This window comes from Homo sapiens, chromosome 3 (genome assembly GCF_000001405.40).
Source record: "Homo sapiens chromosome 3, GRCh38.p14 Primary Assembly".
Lineage (NCBI taxonomy): Eukaryota > Metazoa > Chordata > Mammalia > Primates > Hominidae > Homo > Homo sapiens.
In genome coordinates this window covers 130,516,211-130,528,546 of record NC_000003.12, presented here as the reverse complement: position 1 = coordinate 130,528,546, position 12,336 = coordinate 130,516,211, and the positions used below count along the sequence as shown (strand labels likewise).

General features: G+C 41.2%; 1 protein-coding gene across 15 annotated transcripts in view, besides 1 other annotated feature; it reads right to left on the bottom strand.

Annotated features, from left to right (window-relative positions):
- COL6A6 (collagen type VI alpha 6 chain) overlaps nt 1-11,827 on the bottom strand; it is a 160,323-nt gene extending 148,496 nt beyond the window's left edge. For 7 of the 15 annotated variants that reach the window (XR_924103.3, XM_005247121.6, NM_001102608.3 and 4 more), the window contains exon 1: nt 11,150-11,370. Coding sequence is in view for 4 of the 15 variants with exons in the window: in XM_011512424.3 (XP_011510726.1) it covers nt 11,150-11,166 (17 nt within the window). In the remaining 11 variants the exon portion in view is untranslated. Of the gene's footprint in view, nt 1-3,239; nt 9,760-10,738; nt 11,090-11,149; nt 11,371-11,699 lie in introns of those variants that run through there. The other 8 variants (XM_017005712.3, XM_047447448.1, XM_047447445.1 and 5 more) reach the window with 6 other exon arrangements.
- Nucleotides 655-855: a silencer, noted in NCBI's record as "peak4833 fragment used in MPRA reporter construct". NCBI's record gives its function as "represses an SCP1 promoter by STARR-seq MPRAs in K562 erythroleukemia cells {active_cell/tissue: K562}" and the evidence as "EXISTENCE:reporter gene assay evidence [ECO:0000049][PMID:32103011]".

Genomic DNA, 12,336 nt, shown 5'->3' with positions numbered 1-12,336 from the left:
CATTTACACTACAATGGCACAGCTGAGTAGTTGCAACAGAGACAGTATGACCTGCAAAGTCTAAAATGTTTATTATCTCACTCTTTATAGAAAAACTTTGCAACCCTTGCCCTATTCCATTGCTACTTAAAGAGTGGTCCTCAGATCAGCATGATCAGCATCACTGGGGATCAGAAATGCAGGATCACCTGTCCTACTGAATTAGAATAACAATTTAACAAGGTCCCCAGGTGATCTGCATACCCATCAAAGTTTGAAAAGCCCTGCCCCATGCCCATCTGGCCACTGCCACCCTCTCTGGCAACCTTTTTGTTCCTCTTTCCTTGTTCCTGCTCAGTCCTCGTCTCCAAGTCTTCATTGCAATGCTGCTGCCTCAAGGAGGTCCTTTCCTTCTGTCCTTATTAACTTAGGTTCCCTCTGAGATTTTTCTGTCATAGCATCTTATTATTTTTCATAGCATATCTCAAATCTATGATTAAGCTTTCATCTGAGTGTTTATCTCTTCAATGTCTGTCTCCTGGAAACCTCATAAGGGTTTGGGTCTCAGAGCATCAGAAACAGCTCTGAAAAATGTAAAGGCACACCAGGTGTTGCTTCCAAGAGTAGGGCAACAACAACAACAACAACAACCAAAAAAAAAAAAAAAAAAAAAAAAAGGAAAAGTAACATTGGAAGTAACTTGATGGGAAACAACAGATAAAGTTACTATGCTGACCATGGGGGATGCAGCCTAGAAGGTCCCAGATGATAAGCAGCTAGGTCAGGTTTAATTTCCTCTTTTTGTATTCTGGAGTAAATGATTAGTATTCAATCATACTGAAACTATGAAGTGCTTTGGTAAACCTCTGCAGAGCAAGGATCCAATTTTACCAGCTGTTCATTAAATGAAATATCCATATATATGTATCAGCAATTTAATTAGAAAGGCAGAGTGCCAAGGATGTGATCATTGCTTGGGAAAGTTACATTTCAGGCAGCTTTTGTCTTCCAAGAGAACAGAGGAGACTCTTAATTGTATTCTATTCTCCTTTCCCTCTTAATCACAGCTTGCCTCCACTGATTTTCTTCAAAATGCCCTTGGCGGGGGGTGCTGAACATTTTTGAATGGCTACCTTCTTATATAAAGATTAAGCACACCAGCTGCTCTTGCCTAAAGACCTATAGTGTCTTTCAAAACAGGACACAAATCAGATGGCTTAGGCTGACCTCTTTTGGGTCCTAAGCATAACACTCACCAATAGTGAGTCAAGATTAGTTATCTTTACTGGAGAAGAAAACAAGGTCAAAGAAGAGAAAAAAGTGTAATAGACTTGAGCTACCTCAACAGAGCCTCAAAGGTGATTAGAATAACTCTTGACTGCCATTCGTGAGTGCCAAGCTAAACAGACTAGTTATCCATTAGGAGTTTTTGAAACACATTTTGGCAACCCTTCCCTCCCCACAATAAAAGAGTATGAGGTTCACAGTGGCTCTACTGCAAGAGGAAAAGTAGCCTAAAAGAGGAATGTAGAGACATGGGTTCTAGTCTGAGCTGAGGCCTAAGGCCATTTCCTTAACTTAAACTCTCGGAGACCGATTTTCCTTATCTATAGAATAAGATCGTTTTAGTTTATGTATTTATCCGTTCACTTATTCATGCCTTCATTCAAGTAATATTTATTAAGCATCTATCACCTGGTAGGCAGTCAGGCAGTGGGTATGCAATGAAAAGTAAAAACAGACTTTTTTTTTTTATCTCATGGAGCATATAGTCCTTTGAAACTATAAGGTGCTGATTAAAGAATTACATGAATAAGTGTAAAGTTACAACTGTGATACATGTAAAAAAGAGGTTTCTCTGAAACTTCTGAGCCAATCCATCAGCAAGTCTTGTCAATAGTACTTCAAAACATGTTTTAAATGTAACCACTTTGCACCAGCTGCAAACCACATCACTGCCACCATCACTTCTTGGCGGAACTACTGCACTAACAGTACCTGACCCTTGTCCTTCTTCATAGATCCTTCACACAGCAATCAGAGGGATCTTTGAAGACCATAAATTAGATTGGTGCACCTATGTTCAAAATCTCTAGTGACTTTTCATCACACTTAGGCTAAATTCCAATTCCTTACACCCAGTCCATAAGGCTCTTAATGATGTGAGCCATGCCCATGTGATCTTTGATCTCATCTTTACTCTCCTCATTCCCTCCACTCCAGCCACTATGGCCTCCTTGCATTCCATGAACAAGCCCAAAGTTGTTCCTGCTTGGAAGTGTCCCCCTACCCGACTTCACAAAGAGGGACTCATATTCTCCTCCCATATTCACTCAGATCTCTGCTCAAATGTCACCTCCCCAGAGAAGCCTCCCTGACCACCCCATCCAAAATTACCTCCCACCTTTTTTATAGTCAGTCATTAGCTCCACAATTAATTTCTTAATTAAGGTAGCATGGAATACTACCTATAAGTCATTTATTGACTTCTCTGTTGTTTATATCCTCCTTGGAGCAGGGACTTTGTCTGTTTTCCAGCACCTAGAATAGGGTTTGTACATTAAAAAAAAATGCTTAATAACTATTTGTTGAATTATTATACACTGTGATGACATATATCACTACATAATGAGGAGAACTGATTAACTTGGAAAGTCCAGGGAAGGCTTCTTTGAGGGAATGCTGTTTGAGCTAATGATGAAGGAATGGTGAGAGTTAACTAGCCCAGGAGGAATGTGATGTTCCAGGAAGGGAGGATAGCTGATGCAAAGTTCTCGTGGCAAGAAGGAGAATGGCGTGGTCAAGGAAGCAAAGGAAGTCTAGTATAAATAGAACACAGGGAGAGAAGGGGAGCATGGCACTGAATGAGACTGGAAGAGAGGAAGAGTCCAGGCCATTCACAGCTTTGCAGGACCTACTCATGACTTCTGTCTTTTTCCCGAGATCGACAAGAATTCATGAAAAGATTTAAATTGTGGGAGAGCATAGAGGAAGAACCAATCACTTTTGCTTAAAAAAATACTTGAAACGATTTGTGAGATCCATTTCTGCTCTGAAATTCTAGGATTCTATAAAAAGTCAAACAGCAAAAAAAGGAGAATGGACTTTTGAAAATATTTACTAAAGTCAATTTCAATAACAGAGATCCAAGTCCCTGAGCGACTTCTCAAACATCGCCATTTTGAGTTTTATGTTCACAATGTTAGCAGTCTCCCTTTTTTCCCTCTTCTAAAAAATACTGAGTCAAAATTTCCTCTTACCATGAAAAATATGACTTCTGAACTGTTATTCCGAGCATCCAGGAATCTAAATTTTGTCCACATTAGAAGTTTCTAGGCTTTTGAAGCACACATTTTCCAGATTACCTGGCAGAATATACAGATAGCAGTATCAAGGTCTGAGTTTTAACCACATCCAGAATTCAAATCTCTTTCATTGGCCAGCTGTGATTTGAGCAATTGATGAACCTTGAAATCCTGGACTCTCATTTGTGAAAGCAGGATAATGGGTTGTTGTAAGGATTAAATGTGATAATGTATATAATATGTTTAATAAGTGCTGAGTTCATTGATGTAGAAAACTCTGGATTGGAGTATTTGAAGACCCACCTTGTGAAGAGCTGAAGTCATTCATCTCTTTTTCCCTAGGGTATTTCTATCCCAGCCCAAAATTGCTTAGTGGCTGCAGTTAGTGGCATGGCTTCAGCTCTGCATCCACAGCGCACATCTCCTTTCTCAAGGGGGACTTTAGCAGGGATGGAAGGCATGGAATCATGCAGTCGGTGCCCAGCACACTGCCCAACTTAACAACTTTTGCTACTGCTGATTGAGATGACATAGGAACATCTATTGCCTAATTGCTGTTTTCTCCATGAAGAAATTTAAAGACTTGATAAGAGCACTGAGAAATAAAATAAACAGATAAATAAAGTCCTTCATGCTTTTGGAAGTAAAAAGGCAACTACTTAAAGAATTTTGCAGCTAAGAATACATATTTATGAATTTATCTATTCAAGCTGATCCAAGAAAATGAGGTGGGACTCCAACATAGACAACACCATTAACCACCATTTTGCCTATTTTTCTGAGTATACTGACTGTTACTTACAAGTGACTATGTATTCCAAAATTGTTAGGATATATAGGAAAAAAAGGAATTTATACACTTTGTATGTTTAGAGTGGGGCAGGGCACCTCTGGCCCAGTGAACTTGAAAACTGTTTTGCTATGGACTATTAGGTAAGTGCGTCAAAGCAGTAACTTACTAAATACCTAAAAGCCCTTAAAATGTGCAGACAGCTCCCTGAGGTGCTATTATCCCAATTTCCACCCCAATTATGTACTTAATTCACCTCTCTAGTAAAAGCTAAGAAATTCTCTGCCTTCATCATTCACCAGTGCAAGCTGAGGAACTTGTTTAGTGCTTGCCTCTACCCAGTTACATTGCCTGTAAATGTACATCTCGGTTCCTGAGCATTTTGATGACAGTTCCCCGGAGGCTCAAAGATTAGGTGCTTAATGGTGCCATTTCAGGTTGATGACAGTACTCGTGGAGAAGGGGGAAAGAAAAAACCACGGAGGAGCGGGGAATAACTAATTAAGGCAGAACTCTTGGAAAAAAATCTCAGTTTAGAAATTGGATTCATGGCATTAACCCAGGGAATGCAGATATTGAAACTCAAGGAGAAAGACTGTTTGGAAGAAACTGTGAGGGAATTAGATGCCATTATATGTAGTTACATCACTTGCATTTCCAAAAACACACCTCTTGAAAGGTTTTAAAAGACCTTTTAGCTTTTAGCTAAATGATACTTTCCTCCCTCTGGGTTCCTCCCAGAGCTGCTACATCAAAGTGCCCCTTTAACTTACACCTTCCAGGATGTAGCCTTTACTGTCTCAAAACATCATGAGGCAAGGCAAGCCTAGTTCTACCTTGCTGAATCCAAAATAACTTCTATGTATTGAGCACCAACTTAGGTGTCAGGAACCCCAGATCCATAATTTCATCAACTCCTCTCAATCACCCTGTGCTTGAATATTGTTTCCACTTTGATGAGAAAACTGAAGTTCAGATAAGTTAGGTGACTTGCCCATGATCATCAGCTAGTAAGGAACCTGATTTCAGCTCATTATTCATACAACAGATACTTCAGTAGCTGGCACTGAAGGCAGTCTGGTGAACATGAAACACTAAGAAATAGAGCTTTTAGTGGGAGAGCGATATGGCTAAGGAAGCCCAGGCTATTGTGGGGATCCAGGGAAGGGCACTTTTCCTAGTAAGGGGGTCCAGTAATGCTTTTTCTCAAGGAATGAACATAGTAGCTAAGTTCTAAAGGGAAAGAAGCAGTTAGCCAGGTTGAGAGTCTGGAGAATATGGTTTTAGGTAGAAGAGATTCCAAAATGCAAGTGGCAGGAGGTGAGAGAGAGCAAGATCTCCCTAAAGAACTAGAGGACTGGGAGTAGTGGGAACAAAATAAGAAGGCATGATGCAGAAGACACAGTTAAGGTGGAGTGGTGGGAGGATTTTCAACCAGGATAAGGATTTTGGATTTTACCTAAAGCCATTGGAGCATTTTAACCAGAGAAAAGTGTGAGCAGATGTTTTCAGGCTGAAGTGTGGAGAATGCTACAAGAGGGGCATGACTAGATACAGGGAGGGGCACTAGGAGGCCGGTGTTGAGTGAAATAGATGACGGTGTTTTGGAAATGCAGTGATGACAAGGAGAATGGAGAGAAGTTTGTAGAGATTGTTAGGAAATTAAATTTGTAAGACTTGGAGACTGATTAGATGGGACTGTTGATGAAGTGAGAAGGACAGATCCTCAAGGCTACTTCAAAGTTTTCTGATGGGGCCACTGGGTTGTGCCATTCGCAGGAAGAGGGGAGGGTTTGGGGGAAGATAATGAGTACCATTTGGGACTTGTTGGACTTGTGGTGCAAACAAATCTTCAAGTGCCTTGTGGGCAGTTAGATATCTGGGACTGGAGTTCTCAGGAGAGGTCTGGCCTGGCGGTATGGATTAGAAAATCACTGATAAATAAATGGTGACCCAACCTGTGGAGGGGATAGGAACACCCAGCAGGAAAATAAAGGGCCCAGCATTATCTTCACTGAGCATGTGTTTGAACCACTTTCCAGAACCTCTTTACATAACATGAGCAGAATATGTTCTTTGTGCTATTTCTCTAATTATGGGATCACACTAAACCCTCATTGTTCTGGAGTCACACCAAATCTTCACTGATATCTCCCTCCATGTCCCATGACAGTTTCCAAAAAAGGCGATGAGAATTTAGGATCCAGTTATGACCAATAAGATACAAGTTAAACAAGACACCAAGACACCAATGAAACAGTATTAGCTACAGACAAAATTCTGTTCTGCACTGTGGAAAGCAAGAATTCCATTCATGATTTACTTTTTGGCTAGAATGGCATCTATAGTCCACTTGGCTAAGTATAAGCTATACTTAGTTTACTGCAGTATAACTTATACTGCATTTACTGAAATAGCCAAAAAGTTTATGGTAGACTGGGTTCTCCCAAAAGCAGACCCTGGACAAGAATTCATTCAATTAGTTTATTTGGGAGGTAACTCCTGGTAAAGGAGTGGAGAAGTGAGACAGAGAAGGGAAAAAAGTCAATGTTAATGAGCAGGTAGGTTACCACTATGAGCAGCTGGAGCTCGGTTCCATTGGGTACCTCTGGAGGAATGTATGGTTCATACCTCAAAAGTTGCCTCACCTAAGATGTGAGAAAGTGGGGTATTTACTCACCAACTTTCATATATTATTGGGTAAGGTATTGCTCCAGGGGTGTTTACTTCCAGGCCCTTCTGGCCTACCCTACATGGGTCAGGCAGGCTCCCAAGGCCTGATAAAGCCCTCAGACAGAGTCACAGTGCTTGAAGTAAGAAGCCTCCAGCATGCACTAAAAGAAGGAACACAGTGGGAAAATATGGGCAGGGCCCTCACATTATCTGTAGCCAGCAGAGAGGAGAAAAGCCTGGATATTGAGGGAATCTGCTACAGTGTATAATGTCATCTTCACATTAAAGTTTCTAGCTGTCCCAGAGAAAATGTGAAAGTAAACAAGATTATAAAGTTAACTACACATGCTGGCTTAGGATGAGGTAGGGGTACGAAAATATGGTACACAGACCATTTGACATACTGTGGTATTGTTTTATAACAAACAGTAATAGCCAAATATGACTGTGACTTGCTTATGATCTTCAAAGTTCTATTGTATTTGGAAGCATATAATGGAGAATTTTAGTCAGAATTTCTTACCAAACATTAATCAAGTTGTTTTTAACGGACTAAATAAGTGATTAGCTTATGGTTTTTCAAGCCAACACAAATGCCTTTGCCAACTAACTCTGGCAAAATCTTTCCCCTCTAAAGTGTAGGATACAGTACTTAGAGCAATACAAAAATATTTTAGAGTCAAATCAATGTTCACATCCTTAACTGTAAATGGTTTTAAAATGGTTACATGTATATTTATTTGTGCCTTTGTGACTTAAGGAGAATACTGAGGTTTACATTTGCAAGACTAAGTTGGTTTGTATATTCTATTCTTCTTCCCTCCCCTCTACCAGTTGAGCATTTGGGGAAAAATTTTCTCATCATTCCAAAATTAAATGAGTACATCTCCTTAGACTTGTTCTTCGGGACTGTTAAATGCATTAGTTTTTAGGGTTATGTCAGTCAATCAAAATAGCTCATAAAGATAAGATTTAGAGTCAGTAGTGATAGACCAGGTGTTTTAGTAAGACTGAACTTCAGAAGTAGAGACACAAAGATGATACTGCCTCCTTTATCTTGTCCCGAGATTTTTCACGTTAGGAATTTTCCCTGAGATTTTGCATGTTATTGGATTTTCAAAGTGCAACTGCTACAGCTTTACATGAGATGCATAATTTAGCCAGAATTTTGAAATTTTAAGTCCTTCACTTACCAAATATTACTGAATACCTACTAAGTGCTAGGTATTGTGGGAAGCATTAGGGATACAAGAGACACAAAAGATCTTTTCTTCTGTACATGACTTATATTAGCTAATGGTATCTATTTTTATGTGGTAATCTCCTCTAAATTTCCATGCCAAGGCCTTGGGGTCACCTCAAGAAAAAACCAGTTTTGGAAGGAGGGCGAGGAAACAGAAGAGGAATTGAGAATAAGATTCAGTTATTTTTTCATTTAGAAAGGTCGGCCTTTAGTCACTATTTTGTAAAGGATCATTTATGCCTTTTAAATTCCTTTGAAAAACTTAGCGTAGCTTTTGGTAACTGCTTTAAAATTCAGAAAATCTAAATATAATACTCTTCTGCTGAAAGTAGAAAGACATTTTTATTATTGCAAAAGCATTAGCTAAAGAAATTAAAACACTGAGTGCACTTTTAAAAGCCTCCTACCTGCAGGCATAATTTGACCCTCACGGAAAAGTCTCCTCAAATGCTAAAGCCTAAGATATGAAGAAATTTGTAGTAAAAGCAAAACAGCCACAATCCTCAAACATCTCTTCCAGGATAGCAGCATGCCAGAGTGACAGGCCCTAAATGATCTCCATGATCTCTACAAACTAGAACACTTCCAAGGAGATTACAATGTTTGGCGGATCATTCGTTCCTGTTAATCATGTATTACATTCCATGGAAACAAAGTATTTGAGTGAGGTCAGAACACAGGATAAAATTGGGCTCAATAGTAACTAAATTATTGGAAACAATTCTATTTGCCTGATCTAATGATGATGATGGCTTTACCACCACCATCGCCATCACCATTGTCCTCATTTATTGAGCACTTGTGCTTGGCATTTTACGAAGATCTTGTTTTTTTCCCCATACACCCCTGTGAGGTAGGTAGATATCACTGCCCTATGTGACAGGTGACAAGAATAAGACTCAGAGAGGTAACTGCATTGTTTGAGTTTGTCTATAACTTGAATCTAGACCTGTTGGAGAGCAAAGCTAATCTACCTTATACTTTAAATAACGACAATAAGGTCAGGAAAGGAAAAAAAATAATTTTGGCCAACAATCATCCTGGAAAAGTCATGTTCATGAATCTTTTAGAAGCATAAGAAGAAGCATAGAAAATCTAATCTTCCTACTTATTTCTTAGGACTGTAGGAATGAGTATTCTTAGATTACAACACATAATCATTAGTCTGGATCACTTTTATATATTTGCAGGGGGTCTAGCTCACAAACCCATATTTTTGAGGAATTCCAGGGTCAGCGGATATTTACTGACAGAGAAGTTCTTTTTAGTCATTTTTAAGACCATTGTATTAGTGGGACTTTATAGTGTACTAAGTATAGAGATTATTAAATAAGGCACCAATTTTTATTCATAATTTTTACAACCTGATCTTCATTTGGTGACTTAATTAGATGCTCTTGATACTGTCTATACAAATAAATAAATATTTTCTGCAAAATATTCAAAATACTGAAACTTTCTGAAATTCAGACTATCTGAAGGGAATGGAAAAAATGAAAATTGCAAGTATTTATATTCAACAATAGTATTTCCGGAGAATTGGTTCACAAAAAATTTAGCAAAATTAAATTTTTTAAATTACTAAAATATAAAAGCCAAAGATGATTCTCCAATGAATGCTTAACCTAACATCTTTCATGAACATTATAAAATTTGATTTCACATGGCACAACATCCAAAACACACCTTCTTTTGAGGCACGGTATTTTTTTTCTCCTTCTTTTTCTCTCCTCTGCACTTCTAATATTTTGGAATAAAATGAGGGAGAAATTGCTGTAATCCCAGCACTTTGGGAGGCTGAGGCGGGCGGATCACCTAAGGTCAGGAGTTCGAGACCAACCTGACCAAAATGGAGAAACCCCGTCTCTACTAAAAATACAAAATTAGCCGGGCATGGTGGCTCATGCCTGTAATCCCAGCTACTCGCGAGGCTGAGGCAGGAGAATCGCTTGAACCCGGGAGGCGGAGGTTGCGATGAGCTGAGATGGCGCATTGCACTCCAGCCCCGGCAACAAGAGAGAAACTCCGTCTCAAAAAAAAGGAGAAATTAATTGACAACCTCTTTTATAAAGACAAGAACTATTAAGGCTGTGTATTTTAAAGAACATTATTTAGAAGTTTCAGGATTTTTATGTAAGTGACTTCCTCTATGAAGACACTGAACAATAAATTTAACATTGAACATTTTATATTAAAAATACTACTCATTAAATAGATTAGTTTAGAAAAAGTAACATGACTGCTGAATTCTGTAACTATAGAATTCTTAACAGAAAACTGCTGTTATCCTTCCTGCCACAAGTGTTAGGATTTTTACTGTCTCAGATATTCCTAATCACCGTCACCACCCCTCTCTCCTATCACCCCCACACCCATCCACTGGCAAAAGGTCCTCTTTAAATATATCCATAGAGTAGACTTTTAACAAGAGAATGAGAAATCCTTGTCACAAAAGGACAAAAAAGAAAAGAAAATCACTTCCTAGTTTTAACATTTTTTTTCCTCTTCCAGCCTGCCTCCTCTCCTCTTCAAAATTACTTGCATGGTTGATACTGAGCCAGGTAATTGGGGTTCCGCTCAGAGTAGAATGTTTCTGGGAATTGAGAAAAGGGTGCATTTTCTCTGCTTTCCTTCCTCCCCTCAGACAGCAGTAAAAGTCCAACCCTCTTTAATAAATTTGTGTGAAGTGCAAGAACAAAAGTACAGACTGGGAATGTACAGGCTTGGGAGTGACTTTTCCTGACTCACCCTGATTAACTCCATTCATTTGTTTCCGAGAGTGGTCCACTGTACATGCCACTCGCCAGGCCCTGTGCTGTGAGGACACAGTGTTGGGTGACGCACCTCTCAGGAGGCGCCCTGGTGCGCGGTGGGAGACGCGGAGATGGGAGCAGAGAATGACAAGAGTGTGCTGTAGGTTCTTCAACAGTCGGATGCGAAAAATTAAAAGAAAGACGAGGTGAGGGCAGTTACTCTTGTTTGGAGGAGGAGAAAAGCCAAAGGAGGAGTTTTTGAGCTTCTGAAATTCACTTATTTCCCTCCACCGCAGTCTTTCTCATGCAGCCTCCTCTATTCTGGCCGGTCCCTCCCATCCAACTACTGATCACTTGTAAACCTAGTTTTGGCTCTTGCTGTCCCAGCGTTGGCTCCTGGACTTACCTTGGGGAAACTTCCATGCAGCCCCCAGCCCTGCACTTCGAAAGCCCGGGGCGGATTTCCTCTGGACGCGCACTGCGCGGGCAGGGCGCACCGCGGGGAGCGCAGAGTTTGGTGCCGCCTGCGGCGCGCGGGGAGACGGTGGAGACCTCGGAACCGTGGAACGGACAGGCAGCGGCGTGGGCAGCCTCTTGACTCCGGTGTCCCGCAGGCAAGCGGGTGGCAGCTCCCACGCCCCTCGCCGACATATAAACGCTTCTCCCCGCCCCGGGCCCGACCCTTCCCCGCCCCGGCGGCCCCGGGCCCAGCGCACGTCCCCCAGGAGGGGGGCGCAGCCTTAGGGAGGTGACGGAAGCGGGACTGGAGACATTATGAAGGCTGTTACTGCTCCACCGGCTTCTCCCCTCTTGAAACTCCTACCCTAAGGTCCCGACCGTGGGAGAAAAGAAAGAGGGGAAGTTGGGGCTTTCATGGTACGCGCCTTCTCTGTACCCCAAAGATAGGCAGGGCGTGCAGATCCGAGGCGCACTGAAGGCAGTAGCTCTGCTCCTACCGTTGGAACTGTTGTTCTTTGGCGGCTTTGCCTGTATTCTGGGGTCTTCTGGCAGAAGGCAGGATCTAGCAAGGGAGCCAGAGAGAGTCTTTGGGTTGTAGAAACTCCTCCCTTTTCCGTGGGAACGAAGACCGTGAGATTAAGGTCCAGAGCCACCACCTCATCCCACCCTCAACGCCCCCTACCTCCCCAGTTTCCCTACTCTCTGGTCCGAATTCAGGAGTCCCAAGGAGAATATCCTTGACTCTTTGTCTACTGACCTTTTTCTCTTCTCGCTATCTGTCCATTCACTCATCTATCTATTTTTTGTTGTTGTTGATTCCACAAATATTTGAGCACCTACTATGCACTACTATCAGATGCTTGGGGTAAAAAAAAAACAGCAAAGTCGACACCTTAGCTCACAGTTTGGTTAGGGAGATAGACAAGGAAACAAAAAGCAGTGTGGCAATTGCTGAATGGGGAAATGATGCCATAGGAACCCAGAAGAGGGGATCCCAACTCAACCTTGGAAGGCCAAAAGAAGCTTCTCTGAGGTAATTAAGTCCAAACTGAAATCCAAAGATGGAGCTAGACAGAAAAGCATGGAAAAGAGGGTCTCAGGCAAATGGAAGAGCAGCAGGGAAGAGAGAGGGAG